Raw genomic sequence first — 22374 nt, forward strand, 5'->3', positions numbered from 1 at the left:
TCAACTGATAATGGGATTTTGTTCCTATAAGCCCATCATAAGTTGAAAATACCGTATGTCAAAAATGCACTTCATACACCTGACCTACTGAACATCATAGCTTAGCCTCGCCTACCTTAAACATGCTCAGAACACTTAGATTAGCCTACAGTTGAGCAAAATCATCTTATGTAATTTATTGGCTACCATACCGAAAGTGAAAATCGAATGGTTGTGTTGTTCGTTGAAGTATGGTTTCTACAAATACATATTGCCTTTGTGCCATCATAAAGTCAAGAAATTGTTAAGTCAAATCATGAGTGAGGGATCATCTGTACATTCATACACACACGGTATGAATACATGGGGGTGTGTGTGTGCATGTGTCTATGCATGTAAATGTGTGTTTCAAAGCTCTGGGGTCCTTCTTCCTTCCCAGCTAGGAGCCCCTTTTCCTCTGCTGAGCTCTCGAATCTTGCATAATTGCTCACCACATTTCTGAAAAGACAATCTCTTGGTACAGCACCCCCAGCCTTCTACCAAGGGATTCCAGCAGATGTTCACTCCCAGCTCAGCTTGGATAGGGCCACCAAGGAGCCTGCCTTTGGTCTCCACAGTCACTTCCTGAAGTAAGATTGAAGAGGGTGGGAGCACCATGGTTTGTTGACCTCCAGCTCTGCTTGTATCTCCTTTGGCAGAAGGGGTCCCAGGTGGTGCCTACATTCTAGATTTTAGAGAGGACACCACCTCCAGAGAGCTGAACCCAAAAACTGATGAGCTCCAAAGACGTGAAAAAGGACAGACCCTGCCAGACGAGCACCCTTAGGTTGTTGGCACGGAACTGAGGGAGGAAACTGGGACTACCCGCCTGATGTTGCAGCTTTTTTATTCTCCCCTCGTCACTGTGAGAGGTCTGGACTTCTTCTGACATAAACAGCCTCCTTTCATCAAAGGATCGTGCCATCCTTTCTATTTTCTAAGCATTAAAAGGCAGTTTAAGCAGATCAGTGAATTAGGCAAACGTTTATATTCTCCCTTGCCCTTTTCTTTTTGCATCTGGTAGAATTTCTCCTGTTCTATTGTTGATCTCTTTGTAAAAGCCCGTACATTCTTAGCTGCCAGGGCATGTCTTTGGAAGCATTACCACATACCTGTGAATGATTAATAAGCTGTGTTTGGTTAATAAGCAACATTCAGCTCTCATATTAATCACAGATTTTTAAAGTTAGACACAGCTGGTGACAATTTAGTGACACAGGGTCAGCTTAGCTTTTCTTGAGCATTAGCTGGGAGGAGAGGCTGAACGCTGCCAGATGTCACCAACCAAAAAAAAAAAAACCTAACTGGGTCCTCAGAGAGGACCTGGGGGATGCAAGTGCACACACACACAAGAGCAAGAGATCCCTGTTCTTTTCAAGAACTCCTTTTCTGGAGGACTGTCACCTCCAGAGACCCCATGCTTCCTCCTCATGGTTATAACTTTCCCCAACTCTTCAAGTGTCTAGAGAAAGCACATTTTCTGAACCAAAAATCAGGGTTTATTGATTGGCCATGAGTCTCAAATTAAGAATGCCCTGGAAAAACTGGAGAAAATATTGAGGCATTAGCGGCATTCTGCATAGGCTATATTTGTTCAGCCACATTGAATAACTTACTCTATGCTTAGTACCTCCAGAGAGTGGGGTTACAAAGAAGAATACCCCCTGTCTAGTGGGCCTTCACTGGTGTGTGAGGCTCCTCTGGGCAGGAACTCAATTCTGACTTGTGCAGGTTGCAAGTGGAGGGTCGGCCGTGCTCAGCTGGGCTGATGGTTTCCCCTATTCGAGCCCTTCCTGGCACAGTGTGTCTCCTCTGATTTCTCGTTCCCAGAGCCTTTCCTCAAGTAGGGATTGCAGTTCTTGCTCTCAGTTCCTTCAGCTAGAGAAGCGAGGTCCTTTCACTGGCCCTCTTCAGATCCTGTTCTTGAGCTCAGTCCAACAGGACACCTGGCTTCTCTGTTCACATAGGATCTTCTTTGGGCCAGGCCAAACTTTCCTCTTCCATCTCTCAAATTGGCCCTTCCCTCTCTCAAGAACTGGCTACTTCTCATGGCCCTCTTCTTCATCTCTTCATTACTCCCAGTCTGACAGTGGCTTTGCAAAAATCTTTCACATTTCTCCTCACCATGGTCTCTCTATCGTAAATGAAGATCCAGAAACGTCTTAATTTATCTTTAATGGATAATATAGAGGGTGATTCCTGTCTTCAATCAAAGAGAAAGAGGTATAAGGACAATACACCCAGGCCATTTCACCTACAAATGCTGACCTTACAAAAGACCAGTGGGTGGGGACAGGTGAGTGAAGGTCCTAACCCAGGGCTTCTCTGTGCTGGGAAGTCACAGTTTTTCTTTTCTTTTCTTTTCTGTCTTTTACTTTAAGTTCTGGGATACATGTGCAGAAAATGCAGGTTTGTTACGTAGGTAAACATGTGCCGTGGTGGTTTGCTGCACCTATCTACCTGTCATCTAGGTTTTAAGCCCCGCATGCATTAGGTATTTTTTCTAATGCTCTCCCTTCCCTTGGCCCCCACTTCCCGACTGGCCCCAGTGTGTGATGTTCCCCTCCCTGTGTCCATGTGTTCTCATTGTTCAACTCCAACTTATAAGTGAGAACATGAAGTGTTTGGTTTTCTGTTCCTGTGGTAGTTTGCTGAGAATGATGGCTTCCGGTTTCATCCATGTCCCTGCAAAGAACACGAATTCTTTTTTATGGCTGCATAGTATTCCATGATGTATATATGGCACATTTTCTTTATGCAGTCTATCATTGATGGCTATTTGGGTCGGTTCCAAGTCTTTGCTATTGTAAATAGTGCTGCAACAAACATACATGTCCTTGTGTCATTATAGTAGAATGATTTATAATCCTTTGGGTATATACCCATTAATGGGATTGCTGGGTCAAATGGTATTTCTGATTTTAGATCCTTAAGGAATTGCCACACTGTCTTCCACAACAGAACTAATTTACACTCCCACCAACAGTGTAAAAGCGTTCCTATTTCTCCACAGCCTCGCCAGCATCTGTTGTTTCCTGACTTTTTAATAATCACCATTCTAACTAACGTGAGATGGTGTCTCATTGTGGTTTTGATTTGCATTTCTCTAATGACCAGTGATGATGAGCTTTTTTTCATATGTTTGTTGGCCACATAAATGTCTTCTTTTGAGAAGTGTCTGTTCATATCCTTTGCCCACTTTTTGATGGGGTTGTTTTTTTCTTGTAAATTTGTTTAAGTTCCTTGTGGATTCTGGATATTAGCTCTTTGTCAGATGGATAGATTGCAAACATTTTCCCCCATTCTGTAGGTTGCCTGTTCATTCTGATGATAGTTTCTTTTGCTGTGCAGAAGCTCTTTAGTTTGATTAGATCCCATTTGTCAATTTTGGCTTTTGTTGCAATTGCTTTTGGTGTTTTAGTCATGAAGTCTTTGCCCATGCCTATGTCCTAAGTGGTATTGCCTTGGTTTTCCTCTAGGGCTTTTATGGTTTTGGGTTTTACATTTAAGACTTTAATCCATCTTGAGTTAATTTTTGTATAAGGAGGGGGTCCAGTTTCTGTTTTCTGCATATGGCTAGCCAGTTTTCCCAGCACCGTTTATTAAATAGGGAGTCCTTTCCCCACTGCTTGTTTTTGTCAAGTTTGTTGAATAGCAGATGGTTGTAGATGTGTGGTGTTATTTCTGAGGTCTCTGTTCTGTTCTATTGGTCTATATATCTGTTTTGGTATCAGTACCATGCTGTTTTGGTTACTGTAGCCTTGTAGTATAGTTTGAAGTCAGGTAGCATGATGCCTCCATCTTTAATCTTTTTGCTTAGAACTGTCTTGGCTATACAGGCTCCTTTTTGGTTCCATATGAAATTTAAAGTAGTTTTTTCTAATTCTGTAAAGAAAGTCACTGGTAGCTTGATGAGAATAGCATTGAATCTATAAATTACTTTGGCCATTTTCATGATATTGATTCTTCCTATCCATGAGCATGGAATGTTTTTCCATTTGTTTATGTCCTCTCTTATTCCCTTGAACAGTGGTTTATAGTTCTCCTTGAAGAGGTCCTTCACATCCCTTGTAAGTTGTATTCCTAGGTATTTTATTATCTTTGTAGCAATTGTGAATGAGATTCACTCATGATTTGGCTCTCTGCTTGTCTATTGCTGGTGTATAGGAATGCTTGGGATTTTTGCACATTGATTTTGTATCCTGAGGAAGTCATAGTTTTTCTATGTGCAGTTCCAAAGCCCCTGAAGAATGATTAAAGAGCAAATTACTTTCTCTTTTGAAGATTAAAAAGAGACTCCTTTTTAGCAAGATCAGAGTTAACAAATTACTGGCCCCATGCCCTTTCCTACCCATGTGGAGTCCTCGCCTTGCATCAAAAAGGGAAGCTAACCTGCAACAAGGGAGCAGCCACTGCCAGGAAGAAATGCCTTTGTGCCTTCCCTCTTCTTGCCCTGCTGCCTTCTTCCCAAGTCAGCACTCCTCTCTTCCCTTTCCACATGCTTCCTCTTTCCCCTCTTAGGAAAAAAATATAATATTGGATCGGCTGTGTGTCAAGCATCTGAGGTTCTAACCATAGCTCCATTACTACCAGTCCGTGTGACTTGGGGAATGCTGCTTACCTTCTTTGAGACCCAGTTTCTTCATTACAAGATAAAGAGCTTGCTAGGTGAGCTCTGTGACTTCTTTCTACTTAAACATTTTGTGATTCTGCGTTCTTAGACTTTGTAATAATTCTCTCTTAAGGTATTTGTACATTAAGTTTTACATGTCATTGTGGAATGAACAGATTTATCTCTAGTTACAGAATCCCAAACTTCAGCAGAAGGTGCAGGGAGAACCAAAGAGGTGAGGGATAAAGAAAGGGGCTCCGCCAAACCATATCTCTCATCTTGTTCTTGAATTACCAGCCCTCTGGCAGTCAACTTTCTTAACTGGCTTCCTTCTGGAGCCCAGATTTGTTTTTCCTTGCTCTCTTAATCTCTGTTCACTATTTTCTATAGAAATTACTTTAGAGAGAAACCCTCTTCCAATTGTATTTAAATCCACCCCCCAAATATAATTTATTCTCTTATGAAGCTTTGAAATGGAAAATTTTCCCCAGAAGTAACCAGGCATTGTGCAAAGTCGCATCCATTTTGAACACCAAAGCAGCTGTAACAAATAAGAGATGACAAATGCCATTGTGTAATTTAGTTCTTCATATCAGTTTGTCATTCTGACTCCTTTCTATTTAACTGGATGCTTTGTCAGACTTTGTAATCTAACCATGTGAAGGGCAGTGAATAAAGGATTAACGAAACCCTTTCCAGTTTTGCATGAGCATTTGATTTTTGGCTAACTTCCTAGCTCTGTTCCCATGGAAACCTGATAAAGGAAAGTACAAGTGGGCCCTGATTGGTAAATCCTATCTGGATTGGGACAACTATAAATACCAGAGAAGAAGCCATATTTTCGAGTTTCCCTAAGTGCAGTGACCCTTGTAACTGGCATGACCTTGAGAAGACCATGAAAGTTATGGCCATGGAGTTCCTCCAAGAGATATTAGCTGCTGTGAAATACAGGGCCTCTCATATAGTGTGGCCTCCACACCCCACTGATGTGAGTCTCATTTCTTCACAACTCAGTCCACATGGGGGCCAAAGAGAATAGCTTCTGCCCACTGTGTGGATGGCTTTGTGGTCTGCTGCGAGGTCCCGCAGAAGAGGAAGTCTGGATGTGCCCTACTGACATGCTCTGCCTCCTGGCCTATGAATCTTCTGGGTCAACTGCTGTCTAGAGTGGGCCTTGGCAGTCTTGTGAGTTTGCAGGTTTAATAGAGCCTTATGAGACCTCCTGGTGGGTCTTGTGGATGGAGGTTTTCACTTTTACTGGTTTGAATGAGTGCATTTGCCTGTGAAGCTGTGAGCATGAGACAATGTCCAGTCTTATGGTTTTTACTAATTGCCAGTTTTTCTTTACAAATTAAAAAATAATTTTGTAATGAAAATTGGCAGGTCCCACTTGAGAATATTATACTAAGTGAAATAAGCCAGTGACAAAAAGACAAATACTTTTTTCCACTTCTCTGAGGCACTCATATTCATAGACATGGGAAGTAGAATACTGTTTGCCAGGGGCTGGGAGAGGAGGTAACGGAAAGTTGCCGTTTAATGGATGCAGAGTTCCACCTTTGCAAGATGGAAAGAGTTCTGGAGACTGGTTGGACAACAACATGAATGCACTTAACACTACCGATTGTGCACTTGGTTTAAAAACTGCACATTTGTAAAATGGTTAACGTGGCAAACTTTATGTTATATGTATTTTACCATAATTTAAAAATTTTTTTTAATTGACAGTTTCCTCTAAATATCACACTTAAATCATGTTTTCAATACACAGACTAATTCTAAGTGTTTCCAAATTTCCTTCTAAGTAATATAGGAAGATTTTGTGTTACTTTTCCAATTTCATCCTGCAACCACGGTTAAAAATCACTACTATTCACTTCTTACCATTTGATCTGTTGACAGTTTCAGCCATCAGTCACTGCCGGCTCCCACTTCATTTAGTTACCATGTCCCTCACTAACACAAGATCGCCGTCTAGGGGCCAATCGTAGAACTACAGGCTACACAGAGGAGAAGGGAGCCAGGCCACCTTTCCCATGCATCCCACTCCTTGAACAGAAAGAGCAACTAAAAAGGGAGGCAGGAGTTCTAAGCACCATCTTTTTTTCACCAGTACAGTTTCCAAGATCTTGCTGCTATGAAAATAAAGATCTCCTAATATTTATAGTACTTGAGGTTAGAATAGTCTTCTAGGTAGAGTACTAATATCTTGCTGATAAAGCTTTTGATGCTGAATCCTTGATTATTCTCTTAATATAATATCTTCTGTGCGAATAAGGCTAAAATGCTTGCATACACTCTTGTACTCACTTAGGAATGTAATAGAGCAGTTTGGGAGAGTGACTGAATGCTTCTGCTTTGGGCAAATTTGCCACAAAATCATATTATGCAATCACAGGGTCACAGAACATTAGAACTTAAAGAGCTTTAGAGGCCCGTGGTCTCTAGCAGATCCCTTTGAGAGTCTGATAAAAATTAGAGGTTTACGTACCATAAAATGCTATTTTGCACAAAGCTTTGAATACCATTTTAAAATTTCATCATAGATGAAGAATTCCAGCTTGAATCCCACCCCATAATTTGGAAGTGAAGTTTCTGAGAAGCATCCTGTGTGAAGAAGCAGCTAAACAGAGGGGAATGGGAGTCAGAACTGGATGTTGGAAAGAGATGTGATCCCACAGACAGTGTAATGCTGGGTTGGAACCAGCCCTGGTCAAACCCATTCCCCCGAGTGCACATGTGTTCCAGGGAGAAGCTTGCTGGGGAAGAGAGCAGCAATTTGCCCACCAGAGGCCCAGATCTCCTGGGAGAAATCAGCTGCCATGGAACAGGAGTTTTTCTTCATGCTAGAAAGGGAAAAGAACATGAATAAGTGGCAATCCAGGGACAGCCAGAAGGAACCTGGACAATGGCTCACCGGCTGAGCAGAGATAGAGTTGCACTGGGTGGGGGGGGCGGGGGTGGGGGGCAGTTGACAGCAGCCTGGATTGTGAGCAAGGAGTACGAAGAAATAATAATTGAAGTAGCAGAAGGTAGCAAGGGGTGCAGACCAAGAGCACAGGCACTGCAGAGAGAAGTCTGGATTATTTGTGAGGACTTTCCCTAGGGACTTCTAGAAAGAAATCACTAGTGAGGTCTAAAAGAAGACTGGACTTCCAGTGTGGTGATAGGAACATTGCTCTTTGAGTTCTTACTACAAATGAGGAACTTTGATTTGCCAGGAAACAAAGGGTTCAAAGAACCAATTGTGATATATTTTGGCTTAAATCCCCCCCACTGAAATATGACAGGAGTCAAATTGGGGTACCAGGTAAGTCTTGTGAAGGTGCTGCCTGGGGAGTACCCAGCTGTCTGGCACTTTCATAATATCTTTCTGAACCTCAGTTTCCTCATCTACAAAATGGGATTAGGACTTGTTGAGCATCAAGGTTCCTTCCGACTTGAAAAATCTTCTGATTCTATGACCAAACTGGAAGGCCTGGGTTGGGCTCTCTCAGTTCTGCAGATTTAAATGAGTCATTTCTGAACTGTTGGCTTAAGGCCTATCCTTTTCACTCAAATATTCCCTTGAGGCATCATTTTTTTTTTTTTTTCAAAATTGGGAAAGCGAAGGATACAAGAAGTTGGAAGGAAAGCCCATGAAAGAAAAAAACATTTACTATAATTAAGAAAGAAAATTAAACAGATGATGATCAGAACTGCGGTTATAAATTAAAGTTAACTGATTCCAAGAGTGTACGCCATCAGAATTCGCCCTCATAACTGGAAATTTAGAGGCAGGGCAAGCTTCAAGTTTGCCTAATTCAGCAGTTCCAATCCCATTTCCTTGGGATTCTCAGCTCTGCCTCATCTGTGTTCAGTTTAATTCTCAGGCTGGGGATAACATGGCTATTGCAATAATAGGGCCAAGCTTGACAACATCCAGAGGGAGAGACTCTCTTTTCCTATGGCTCTCTCTTAAAGGTGGAGAATTTTCCAGAAGCCCCAGCAAACTTCCCCATAAATCTTATTAAACCTAATTGGTCCATATGCCTATTCCTGAACCTCTCACTGGCAGGGGGATGAGATTATACTTAGACAATTTAGGCCTAACCTGGAAGTACAAAGACTGCAATGGGGAAGGGGTGAATATTTGAAAAAAATCAGGGTTTGTTGGAATGAAGTGAAGAATGGCTGCTGGGCAGACAGTCAGCGGTATCTTGTCAGAATCAGCTGTTGAAATGCAGTGGGGCGTATGACCATGCTCCCCATTTAACAGATGGAGTAGTTAGGCCCAAGGTCACACAGTTGGGTTAGAGCTAGGGACAAAGACCTTTCTACTCAAAACCCGAGGCTTCTCTATGTACATTTCAAAAGGCTTAAATTTTGGCTTATCTTTTTACCCAGAAAGTCTACTTCTGGGAATTATTATAAGGAAATAATGAATGGGAATAAAGAGTTAGAAACAATAATTTTTAACCCAGTATATTTTTGTGAAAAAAAAATGGGAATAATGTGAAAGTCTAATAGTATGCAGTTAGTGAAATCAATAATGATACATACATACAATGGAATACTATGCAGCCATTACAATTATACCACAGAAGAAAAGGCAATGGCCTGGAAAAATATATTGTTCATAATATATTGTTACATAAAAAGTAGGCTATAAAACTGTTGTTTAACAAAACAGATCTAGAAAGATTAAGAGATGTATACAGCAACATTTTACCTGTAGTTTCCTCTGCATGATGGAATTGTAGATGATTTTAATCTCTTAGTTTGTGCTTCTTTTTTCCAGATTTCTTTGGTTGAGGATATGTAACAAAGAATATCTTTGGTGAGAACATTGCAATCAGAAAAAAATGTCCGTGTAACCATTTTTTAAGATTAATTCTATTTTCACTAAGAACACTGATTTTCAGACATAGCTATAGGTATCACAGGGTTCTATATGGAATTTCTAGAAATACAGTGGGGAGTTCATGGCAACAGCCTTCTCAAGACCTGTCTTCCATGCCCACGAATTCCTAGGATAAGAAACAACACTCGGGAGGTTTCTAAAGTTCCCGACCTCAACTGCCCTCAGAGAGGGGTCATTATATCCAGGGCAATGTTAGTGAGCCACAGTATGTGCGTTGGGAACCATGTAGAGAACAGGAAACTACAGATGCTTTTTAAGACACTTATGAGAATTGTTCTTTCTAAAGTTTAAAGTGCCTGGCACATATTTGGTGCCTAATACTGGCTAAATAAGGAGATGTTGGCTGTGCGCAGTGGCTCACGCCTGTAATTCCAGGACTTTGGGAGGCCAAGGCGGGTGGATCACGAGGTCAGGAGGTTGAGACCATCCTGGCTAACACGGTGAAACCCCGTCTCTACTAAAAACACAAAAAAAATTAGCCGGGCGTGGTGGCGGGCGCTTGTAGTCCCAGCTACTCGGAAGGCTGAGGCAGGAGAATGGCGTGAACCCGGGAGGTGGAGCTTGCAGTGAGCCGAGATCGCGCCACTGCACTGCAGCCTGGGCGACAGAGTGAGACTCTGTCTCAAAAAAGAAAAAAAAAAAAGATAAAATTACCAGAAAATATTAAACAGGTAAGTATTTACCTGTTTAAAAGAAAAATTACTAGAAAATATTAAACAGTGAAATGACCAGTGTGTCCTCAGCACAACACCTTCTACAAATTATATTAGGAGTAGCAAACAAGGCAGTGGCTCACACCTGAAATCCCAACACTCTGTCTGGGAGGCCGAGGTGGGTGGATCACCTGAAGTCAGGAGTTCGAGACCAGCCTGGACAACATGGTGAAACCCCGTCTCTACTGAAACTACAAAAATAACCTGGACATGGTGGTGGGCACCTGTAATCCCAGCTACTCAGGAGGTGAGGCAGGAGAATCACTTGAACCCAGGAGGCGGAGGTTGCAGCGAGCCGAGATCGCGCCACTGCACTCCAGCGTGGGCGACAAGAGCAAAACTCTGTCTCAAAAAAAAAAAAAAAAAAAAAAAAAAAAAAGGAGTAGAAAACAGAATGACTCTCAGGGGCACTCCGCTTTTTCTGGAGTTGTTCCTGGGTCTCCTGACCACCCAAGTCTGACTGAGTTCTCCCACATTTATCCCAGCTGTCACGGATGAGAGGCACTTTCTCTTCTGCTGACCTTCTGGCTCCTGGTGATACTGTCTACAGCACAGATGGAAAGTACCCAGGAAACAGCATAACAACAACAACAAAAAATCACATTTTTTAGCTTCAAAGCAAACACCAAAGTTAAAAGCCCAACGCCTGAAGGAATTTAAGGACCAAAGTTATTTAGGGCAGAAGCTAAAAGGAGGTGGCCTACCCCCTACCCACGGACCCCAGGCTTCAAATAGGTGAAGGTTGGAGGCTGCCAGGCCCTGAGCAAGCATCATCAAAGAAGAGCACATCCAAGAGTACCCCAGTGCTCACTCTGCTTTGAAGACAAACAGCCCTCCTAATTAGAAACAGCTTCATTCACATGCCAGATGTCCATGCTTCCCTTCCAATTATTTTCAGAAACATCATAAAGAACCATTAGCGGCAGTGCAAAATATCCTGGGTTGTTTTTTAAAAGAATTTGTCCATTCTTATGAGTTCAGTTTGATATGAAGAAGATTGCAATCCGCCTATTCCTAAGAGGTTTTTGGAGCAGGAGAGGGACTCAAGATAAGGATGTGTAAGGATTTGATCACCAGAAATACTACCACATATTTGGTTTAAGCATAAAGAACAAGCATCTTACAAAAATGTTAGCCAAATGTCTCTTTACATCACACACACACACACACACACACACACACACACACACACGATTAGTACACCCTGAGCATTTATCTAAGAATAACATGAACAATCAAAAGTTTTTGGAAGCAGAGGATCTAGATCATGAGTTATAGTTCTGAATTCTGTGTTGGTCAGACTACTTCGAAATACATTGTCCACTTCAGGAAACCACATCTGGAAAGGGACATTGACCAATTCAAGAAACCCCAGAAAGTGGGAAGAGCACAACCATGGTGGACCATAGACTTCTTTAGGGCAGGGTCTGTGCCATGCCTTTGCTCACCCCCACTGCCCTGGCACAGTGCTTTATACATAGACCATGCCGTAAGATATTTGTTGAATAAATGAGTAAATAATTCATATGTCATGCATAATTGTTGAAGGAAGTACAGTTGGTTAACTCAGAGAATAAAAGGTACAGAGGACATGACAGCTCATGTCACATACCTAAAGGGGTACCACAGAGAATAGGGAAAAGATGTATTCTCTCTTGGTCTTTGGATCAGAATGAAGACTATTTAGTGAAAGCTACAGGAAAGCAGCTTTGACCCAGGATTATTATTATTTTGTGTATCCACCATAAATAACTGTGTGAGGCTCGGGTACATTCTCACACTCAAACTTTAATTTGAGCATTAGAGGGATATAGAAAGAAATTTGGGCTTGTGGCCAGATTAATAACTTGTTCAAGAAATCTTTACTGAGATAGTGCCAGAGGATGCTGAGAAGCAGGGTGAATAAGTAACCAAAAAGGCAGGGTTTCTTCCTTTTTGAAGCTTCCGGTCTATTCAGGAATGCAGACAAGTCAGCAGGTAATCACGGTGTGCACAGGTGAGATGGACTGTGATAAGGGAAGTTCGGGCGCCTCCTGCAGTGGGTGCTCCAGCATCCCAGGGGGCTTAGATGAAGCAAAAATGGGGGATGTGATAGGGGTGGAGGATGATCCAGCATGCATATGAGCTCTAAGGCAGGACAGAGTGGCACTTTGGAGAACCCTCCACCGTCCTTAAACCAGCCCCACTTCCCACTTCCAGTTCTACCCACTCTTGGCTTAGGAAATTTTCTCCTCTTTTTGCCCTGAAAATTAGCCTTGGTGGCTGAGTTTTGCTTTTCAGGTTCTCATTGCTAGTGCTTATTTTGACGCTTAGTGACCATCTCATTCCTACTATTGGCCCGCAGTAGGGAATCAGACCTTTAGTAGACACGGAGCTCTTCAAATACAGAGTGAACTTGGGGCATCTGATCATGTGGGTCAAGATGAACACTACAGAATACAACTGAGAGCCACATGTGAGTGAAGCTGTACTCGAGCTGACAATACTGACATTCAAAAAGCAACAGGATGATGAGAATGTTCTGGAATTAGAGGGTAGTGATAGTTACACAACCTTGTGAATATACTACTGCACACCTTAACATGGTGAATTTTATGGTACGTAAATTACATCTCAATAACATTTAAAAAAAAAAAAAAAAGCAGCAGCAGATGGCTGCTGGAGGAGGCTGAGCTTAAATACCCCTGGTTACACTTCCTCCTTTCCTTGTATTTACTGGAAGGAGAAGGATTTGTCCTAAGATGAATAGTTTTTTCATCTTCAGAAATTCCTGACAAGCTACTACCCTGTCAAGGCATGAAAAATTTCATTAGTGCTGACTTGGTACACAGTCTATTAATTAGTACCTAAATAATTGCATGTTGCCTCTGTGTCATGATTTATAATTGTATGCATGCTTTGATCTTTCTCATCACAGGCAGCACTGAGAAGTGAAGGAATATTTGGGAGGATCAGAAGCTTGGTCCTGATTTTGCCATCAACAGGAACTTGATGACTTCAAGGGAGTCCCCAAACCCTGGGTTTCTGTTTTCTCAACTCTAACATGAGGGGCTAGATGCATCTGGTTTAGTTAGTCTCCATGATGGTTTAGTTCGTCTCCATGATCCTGTGAATTTCAGATGTTGAAAATCTTCGGAAAAGCCCTGAAAGATGAACAGGTAGGAGTTATTGTCTATATTTTACCCATGAGGAAACTAAGGACCTGGGAATCTAGAGGGCTCATTAGCTTTTGAACCAGTACTAGCAATGAGTTCATCTGAATTCTGGTCCCAAACTCCTAGCATGAGAGAAATGTGGACCTTTCATTCCAGGAGTTTAGCATGTAGGAGGTATTCAGCTGGTGAGGGATTAAGGCAAGATTACAGGTTCTTGAGAAACATAAGCGACAGAGACAAGAACATCAGAAAGGGCCGCTGTGACTCGGGTCGTGGCTGCCGATGGAGCTCGTAAGTCAGGAGAGGTTGTTTGCTGAGAAGCTTGCATTCCCTAGAGCCCAAGTGGGTGTTGCCAGGAAACCCTGAGTTTTCCAACTTGGCAATCAGTGCACAGCTGAGTTTTTATAGGAAATTGCCCAGCTCTTTGGAAATTGTATGTGGTATAAATATGGTTTTGAAATTCTATATATTAGCTTAGCAAAAGGCGGAAATATTTTGAAACCCATGGATTTGGGAGATCTGCCGGCATTGCTATTAAAATTACTTTCAGCAGAATTGTACAATATGACATTATATTGCTCAAAATGACTCAATTTTCTAATCTTTGAGACTTCTTAAAAAGAAATGAACCCCAAGTAGAGTAAAGGTGGACTGCAAAAAACAGCTTAGTCTGAATGAAAAAAATTCATCCTTGGCTCTGCATCTAAGAAACTGGCTGTGTGTCCTCAGACAATTCACTTAATGTCTCAGATCCTCAACGTCTTCAACTGCAAATAAAGGGGTTAGAGGAGATCATCTTTAAAGCCCAACTCAGCTCTAACATACTATGATTGGATACCATACACTTGTCCACATTCTTTTCTCTAGCACTTGGGGATTTCTGCTCTTCCAGCCTTTACAAATACAACCTTTCACTGTCACACTCATTCTTCCTTGTCCTTAAAACAGAAAGCCCAGGCATAGTCTGATGCCACTTCTGAGGGCTATAGCAGGTGGCATCTAGTGTCTCTATAGTAACTATTTACACTCCTAGGGAAAATTATCTCACAGAAGCATAGAGAGCCTGACCTTGTCTATAAAGACAGTAAGGTACAATGATTAAAAGAATAGGCTCTAAAGTCAGGCAGACCTGGGTAAATCTGCCACCTACTAGAGAGCTTGGGCAAGCAAGTTCACCATGCCTGGTACCTAGTGAGTGCTGTGGGCCTCTATTCTGGAGGGACAGCAGGGCCTTACGAAACCAGCATGAGATTGTAAATGCCTTGCAGGCTGGATTTTCAAGAGGAAATGCTACCCCCTTTTTCTCCAACATCTCTGGCAAAATTGCTAACCCAAAGGTACTAGGCCCAGCTAGTTATGAAGGGGATGGAAGTGATCTCTATCCAAGGGAAGAACATTTGAATTGATGTTTAAAGGAGTTGTTTAGATTCTTATGAAGGAATAGAGGAAGAGTAGAGGCAAAGACAGAGAAGGGGATGGATGAGAATAAAGAACAAGAAAAGAAGCAGTAGGAGACAAATGAGAAGGTTAAAGCTGATAATTTTTACTTTTATGATAAAAGGAATTTCTAAGCAAATTCTAACCATTTTATCAAGAAGAAACAAATTCACTAACTTATATTTCTGCTTAAAGAAATGCATGGGCATTTTCTTCGCATGTGCAGTTTGTTTAAAAATTAGGCATTGAATGCTTTTTAAAAAATATCTAGATCTATTCTGGACATGCACATTCCAATTGATAGATAGATCAAAATGTCTGATTTTCTTACTGGTAACTTGGCACCAGTTGCCAGTGGCTTCATATGAACCTATCAGCTGCTGTGGGATGGCAGAGCAGTTAAGAGTCCAAGACTAGTCCACGCAGGCCTGCAGCTCCCACATTCTGATGCATCAAAGCCACAGCAAGTTCCTAAAACATAGGCTCTGGATCCAGATGCTTTTGGTTCAAATTTTCACTTCATTATTTCTCAGATGTGTGACTTATGGCAATTACTTACTTCTCTAAGGCTCACTTTCCACATCTGTAAAATAGGGCTAATGATAGTATTTGCTTCATAAGATTGGGGATTGAATGGGATAATGCACTTAGCTCAATACTCACCCATAAACTTTTTTTTTTTTTTTTTTTTTTTTTTTGAGACAGAGTCTTGCTCTGTTGCCCAGGCTGGAGTGCAGTCGTGCGATCTTGGCTCACTGAAATCTCCACCTCCCAGGTTCAAGCAATTCTCCTGCCTCGGCCTCCCATGTAGCTGGGATTTCAGGCACACACCAACACCCCCGACTAATTTTTTTGAATTTTTAGTAGAGACAGGATTTTACCATGTTAGTCAGGCTGGTCTCAAACTCCTGGCCTCAAGTAATCCGCCCACCTTGGCCTCCCAAAGGGCTGGGATTACAGGCGTGAGCCACCACTCCCAGCCAACAATATTCAATTACATACTCAATTACTATGTTCTTTTTCTGGTAACTAGAATGTAGGATCTTATGATTGGCCCCAAGTTCAAAGATATGGGCAAGTAAGTATAATATAAGAGTGTAGATACAGATTTTGTAGGATATATGCCATGGCCTCTGTCCCATATCAGTTTAATACCTATTTTCCAATGTAATGCCCTGAAATCCCAGAAGAGGAAAAAAGAATTTTTTTCTAACAATTAGAAACATGATAAAAAAAACTATCAAAGGTATATTCATTCAGCCATGCAAATTGTAAAACCATAGCAATCATTCTATTTGTTTGGTCACAGTTTAAAAAAGGAAATTTGCTATAAGAAAAATAAATACAAACAAACACAAAAAGAGTTGAATGCCACCTGCAGAAGAAGCACCAATCCAACTATTTTACCCTGCCCACATTCACCATGTTTCTCACAATTGCCTATAAAAAGTAGTCACCATTTATTGTACCAGGCAGTGAGCTAAGTGCTTTATGGACCCTGTCTCGTTTAACTGTCCCCAGAGTCCTATGAGTAGGTATGTTAGTGCCATGCCCATATCACGGATAAGGAGATATGCCAGGTCAGAGAGGCGAGTTGGGATTCACACGCAGCAGACTTGCTCCAGGGCCTGTGTTCTCAACACTGCATGGTGCCGCTTCTGATCTGGATTGTTAAATCTCAGCACCCAGCACTCCTGGCTTGGGTAGAAGGGAATGGGCCCAGAGGTGCTGAGAATGGATCTCATGTACACCTAGGGTCGAAGTTGGAACAGAGAGTATGTGGAGAGCCTGGGCTAAGACTGAAGCCGCCATGATGAAAACCAAACTCAAGCAGTCTTGTTTTTTAAAACCAATGGGAGTAGTAAAGTATAAATGTAAATCTCAGTTATCTTATCATGCCACCCTATAGGTGTTTCCAGTAGTTACTTTAGAGCTATCAAAGATACATCTGAAATAACGGTACTGTGTATATACTTGAGTCCTCTTCCCCAGCTTGACACTCCTAGGAGTCAGGTGTTCTCTGGGCCAGATCATTTGCCCACAAACATAGCAATATGCCTAGCCTTCTCATTATATAAGGTCCCCCATTATATGGGGGACCTTATATAATTTCATCATATGGATGAAAAATGGGATTATTTTATTATTTGACTCTTCTCTCTAGGATTCAAAGTGCTTTTATTTATAGATTTTCATGATTTAACCAATTCACCCAAGAAGTAGGAAGAGGGCAGCTTTATTATTTTCAAATTGTGGACTGAGAAACTGAGATATGCAGAAAGAAATAAAGCTGCTCTGCAATTTGGAAAACCATCTGTGATGCTATAAAAACGTCTCACTGTACTCTCAACCACATAAATCACTATTTTTATTGCCTTCTCTCTGGATGAGATGTGGCTTAATTTGAGAGAGCTGTTTATCATTTGGCAAGCTGAAAGAACCTAATTTCAAGTCTCCATTCTAGTGGGTGGTAAGAATAAAGGGAATTTGCTTTAAGGGAAGAGGAAATGATAAGAATGGGAAGGAAACGGTTAGACCTAAAAAAAATCGATTTTGAAACCCTTTGGATTATCATGGATTTAATTTGCCAAGCATGGGTGAGGGGTCACATGGAATGGGTTTGAATTCTAAGCCACCATTATGACCACTCACTTAATGTTTCTTCCTACCACTCCCATTCTACAGTGAGCCCATGATTAAGATAACAACAGCTTAAATGAGTTAGTGCATAGTATGGTTTGGCTCTGGGTCCCCACCCAAATCCCGTGTTAAATTGTAATCTTGAGTGTTGGACGTGGGGCTTGGTGAGAGGTGATTTGATCATGAGGGTGATTTCTAATGGTTTAGCACCATCCCCACAGTGCTGCCTTATGATAGAGTTCTCAGGCGATCTGGTTGTTTGAAAGCATGTAGCACTTCCGCTGCCCTTCTCCTGCTGGCCATGTGAAGGTGTGCCTGTTTCTCCTTTACCTTCTGCCATGATTGTAAGTTTCCTGAGGCCTCCCCAAAAGCAGAAGCCTTTACAGCCCACAGAACTGTGAGCTGATTAAACATCTTTCTTTATAAATTACCCAGTCTCAGGTAGTTTTTATAGCAATGCAAGAACAGACTAATGAAGAAAATTGGTACCAGAGAAGTGAGGCATTACTACAAAGATACCTGAAAATGTGGAAGCAGCTTTGGAACTGGATAATGGGCAGAGGGTGGAACAGTTTGGAAAGCTCAGAAGAAGACAGGAAGATGAGGAAATGTTTGGAATTTCCTAGAGACTTGTTTAATGGTTTTGACCAAAATGCTCATAGTGATATGGGCAGAGATGGCCAGGCTGATGAGGTCTCAGATGGAGATGAGGAACTTATTGAGAACTGGAGTAAAGGTCACTCTTGCTATGCTTTAGCAAAGAGACTGGTGGCATTGTGCTCCTGCTCTAGGGATCTGTTGAACTTTGACCTTGAGAGATGATTTAGGGTATCTGGCAGAAGAAATTTCTAAGCATCAAAGTGCTCAAGATGTGGCCTGGCTGCTTCCAAAAGCCTAACTCATCTGCATAAACAAAGAAATGACCTGAAAAGGGAGGCAAAGCATAAAAGATAGATAGGAAAATTTGCAGCCTAGCCATGTGGTAGAAAAGAAAAACCCATTTTCTGGGGAGAAATTCAAGCCCAATACAGAAATTTGCATAAGTAAAGAGGAGCCAAATATTAGCAGTCAAGACAATGGGGAAAATGCCTATGAGGCATTCCAGAGACCTTTGGGGCAGCCCCTCCCATCACAGGCCTGGAGGCCTAGGAGGGAAAAATGGTTTCATGGGGCCAGGCCCAGGGCCCTGCTGCTTTGTGCAGCCTTGGGGCATGGCACCCTGCATCCCACTTGCTCCAGCTACAGCTGTGGCCAAAAGGGCCCCAGATACTTCTCAGACTGCTGCTCCAGAGAGTGCAAGCCACAAGCCTTGGTGGCTTCCATGTGGTGTTAAGCCTGCAAGTACAAAGAGGATGAGAGTTGAGGCTTGGGAACCTCCACCTAGATTTCAGAGGATGTATGGAAAGGCCTGGATGTCCAGGCGGGAGTCTCCTGCAGGGGCAGAGCCTTCATGGAGAATATCTAGTAGGGCAGTGCAAAGGGGAAATGTGGGGTTGGAGCCCCCACACAGAGTCCCCACTGGGGCACTGCCTAGTGGAGCTCTGAAAAGAAGGTCATCCTCCTCCAGACCCCAGCTTGCACTGTGTACCTGGAAAATCCACAGGCACTCACATCAGTCCATGAAAGCAGCCACAGGGGATGTACCCTGCAGAGCTGCCCAAGGCCTTGGAAGCCCACCCCCTCCATCAGCATGGCCTGGATGTGAGACACAGAGTCAAGATTATTTTGGAGCTTTAAGATTTAATGACCGTCCTGCTGGGTTTCGGACTTGCATGGGGCCTGTAGCCCCTGTGTTGTGGCTGAGTTCTCCTTTCTGGAAATGGAGTATTTACCCAATGCCTGTACTCCCATTGTATCTTGGAAGTAGCTAACTTGTTTTTGATTTTACAGGCTCATAGGTGGAAGGGACTTGCCTTGTCTCCGATTAGACTTTGGACTTGGACTTTTGAGTTAATTCTGGAATGAGTTAAGACTTTGGGGGACTGTTGAGAAGGGATGGTTATATTTTACAATGTGAGAGGATATGAGATTTGGGAGGGGCCAAGGGTGGAATGGTATGGTGGGGCTTTGTGTCCCTACCCAAATCTCATGTTGAACTGTGATCCCGAGTGCTGGAGGGAGGGTTTGGTGGGAGGTGATTGGATCACAGGGGTGGTTTTTAATGGTTTAGCGCCATTCCCCCAATTTCTTAGGAAATCTGCTTGTTTGAAAGTGTGTAGCATCTCCTTTGCCCCTCTCCTGCTGCTAATGGCCTGTTTCCCCTTCACCTTGTGCCACGATTGTAAGTTTCCTGAGGCCTCCCCCAGAAGCAGAAGCCTGTACAGCCCACAGGAACCATGAGCTGACTAACCATCTTTTCTTTATAAATTACCCAGTTCTTTATGGCAACGTAAGAATGGACCAATAGAGCACATCACTAGGGTAGCACAAAGGAGAGGGCCCAGAAGCAGAGGAGAGATAAACAGCTCATTTTTTTCATCTTTCTCAATGTTTCTTGCTCACTCTCTGTTGTTTGCATCCATTTTTCATTTCATCCCATTTCCTCTTTTTTCCCTTTCATTTCCTCATTTTGGGACAGCAAGAGGTCATGTTCTTGCTGCCAACAGTTACGACATTTTCAGTAGTCATGACAGCCACAAAGCCAGGGCTGGACTTGTCCAGAAGTCTGATCTGCAGCAGGAGGGAGTCTGTAGTGTGCAGGGGCTCTCCAGCTGTCACTTAGATCCCAAGCTGCCCCTTCACTTTTAATTTTGCTGATGGTGGCTTTTGTCAAAGGCAATTTAAAATTTAGGGCTAGGTAGTCTAATCTGTCAATCTTTTCTTTTCTTTGTGGTTTCCAGGTTTGTGTCTTACTTAGGAGGGCCTTCCCAATGCTAAAATTATATATATAAACAGATATACCACAATTGCCTAAACAGAAATTTGGGCAAGCTGGCACATTTGAAACAGGGCTGTCTCCTAAAATTTGGAACGTGTGGATAGCGTGCATATGCTTGGACTCTAGGACTTACTTTCTCTGGAAAAATCCGTCTAGCTTCCTCACTCACTGCCTCTGCCTCCCAGCTCCAGCCTAGCCATTTCATCTTATGGTGGGGGAGCACTCAGTTGCTAGGGCCAGAAACCCACTCAGAGTAACTTAAGTAAATGGGGATTACTTGCACAGTGATAACGGAATACTGTGAAACCCAGTTTGAAGAATTGCACCTGGATCACTGAAGGGCTAGAGTCTGGAGCTGCCCTTCCTCCTCCCTTTCTCTCAGTTATCTTTGTCTCTGCTCCATCCTCCCCCTTCGTCAAGCATACTCTGTTACCACATGACCTTAAATGACTGTCTAACTCAGTCCTTGAGCCCACAGAATCTTGTGAGTCTAGCACTCACAGATAAAAAAACACCCTCAGGCTTTCTGTGTCCCAACTCCAAGTTCTAGATAAAGATGTCTGATTGGTTAAAGTGGGTCATGTTTAAAGTGGGTCTACTCCCAATTCAGTTATTGGTGGCCAGGGCCATGAGCCACATGGTTGCCCCTTGGGGCAGTGGGCAAGGTAAAGTTCACAAGATGTGGTGGGGAGGAAATGACCACTGTAACTCTGTGGTCCAGTTCCCACACCCATATTGTGATTTTTGCTCCCCTTCAAGTTTGCCCTTGATGTTGTCTGTAACTGAATTCTGTTTTCTCCCATGGTTAGATTTATACCAGATCCAGGACCTTTTAGGGAGGGCTGTGGTCCTGTCCCCTTGGGGAGGCTCTGATCTAAGACTGCTCCCTCATGGAAATTAAGGAGAAGGGGAAAGCCTAGGCTACAGATGGAGAAGGATGAGTCATTCCAGCAGCCATGGCCAAGGGAACTCCTGGAGACGTAGGGACTGTTTATGTGGCCACTCACCATCATGCAGGCCCCCAATGGGGGTGAGGCAAGGAAGGACATAGAAAGACTGCTCAAGTGCATTTCTGGTTTTGCTTCCTACCGCAAACGACTCTTGTCATATGACTGGGGGAGTGTGGTGGTGGCAATAAGCAGAAAAATTTGAGTCTAAGAGTTGCTTTCTGAATTCTATTAGGGTCAATGTAGTCTAAAGAAGTTGACTTTTGAGGAAATAAATCTTTTCTGTTTTCTGCAGCCAGACTAAGGATTTAGTGGTGAATGGTAGGTGGGAACATAGTGGGACTCTGACTGCTCATACGGCCTCTGTGAGGCTCAATTCTTTTATCTCTAAAAGAGAGAACTGTCTACCTGGTAAGAGAAGATCTTTTGGGAGCCCACTAAACTCTAACATAATGTTATTATACAGTAAGTTCTCACTTAATGTCATCGACAGTTTCTTGGAAACTATAGCTTTAAGCAAAATGACATGTAACAAAAGCGTTTTTTTCTCATCAACGTTATAACAAAACGTTAAAGGAAGTGACATTATTTATGAACCTGCTGCATGTTGTTTTGCTTAAAGTTACAGATTCCAAGAACCTATCGATGACATTAAGTGAGGACTTACTGTACTAGTATCATTTATAACTTATAAAAATGACTTAATTAATATACCACAAAATATGCAGCTTTCATGTTAGAGACCAGATAAATATGAATATTTTGTTAAAATGTCTCTCTTCTCTACTTTACCAGTCTTCACCAACCTCCTCCCTCCAGAATATTCCTCAAGAATATAAAATGCCTCATCAACATGAGACAACAGCAGGAAGCACCCATTCGTAGTAATCCTCTGTATGGAGGAGGCTGTTACATAACCACAAAGGCACAAAGCTGCAGTTTTGAGAACATCTTCCCACGCCAGTTCTAAGCATTGACTTCAACTATGGTTGCTAACACAAGAATCGGCACTGGTGACTTTTGAGCCATCAATCATCCTTTCCTAACACATGAATCTTTTGGAAAAGTATG

General features: G+C 42.5%; 2 long non-coding RNA genes across 2 annotated transcripts in view; one reads left to right on the forward strand and one right to left on the reverse strand.

Moving 5' to 3' along the window:
- Positions 1 to 1494: 1494 nt before the first annotated feature.
- LOC107985871 (uncharacterized) overlaps positions 1495 to 22374 on the reverse strand; it is a 62078-nt gene continuing 41198 nt past the window's right edge. Inside the window, exons 3-4 of the long non-coding RNA XR_007086290.1 lie at positions 9342 to 9414; positions 1495 to 4261 (exon numbers count right to left, since the gene is read on the reverse strand). This is a non-coding gene — a long non-coding RNA (uncharacterized LOC107985871). The remainder of the gene's footprint in view (positions 4262 to 9341; positions 9415 to 22374) is intronic.
- Positions 22284 to 22374, forward strand: part of CYP1B1-AS1 (CYP1B1 antisense RNA 1) — a 50751-nt gene continuing 50660 nt past the window's right edge. The window contains exon 1 of the long non-coding RNA NR_027252.1: positions 22284 to 22369. This is a non-coding gene — a long non-coding RNA (CYP1B1 antisense RNA 1). The remainder of the gene's footprint in view (positions 22370 to 22374) is intronic.

Source organism: Homo sapiens, chromosome 2 (genome assembly GCF_000001405.40).
Source record: "Homo sapiens chromosome 2, GRCh38.p14 Primary Assembly".
Taxonomy (NCBI): Eukaryota; Metazoa; Chordata; class Mammalia; order Primates; family Hominidae; genus Homo; species Homo sapiens.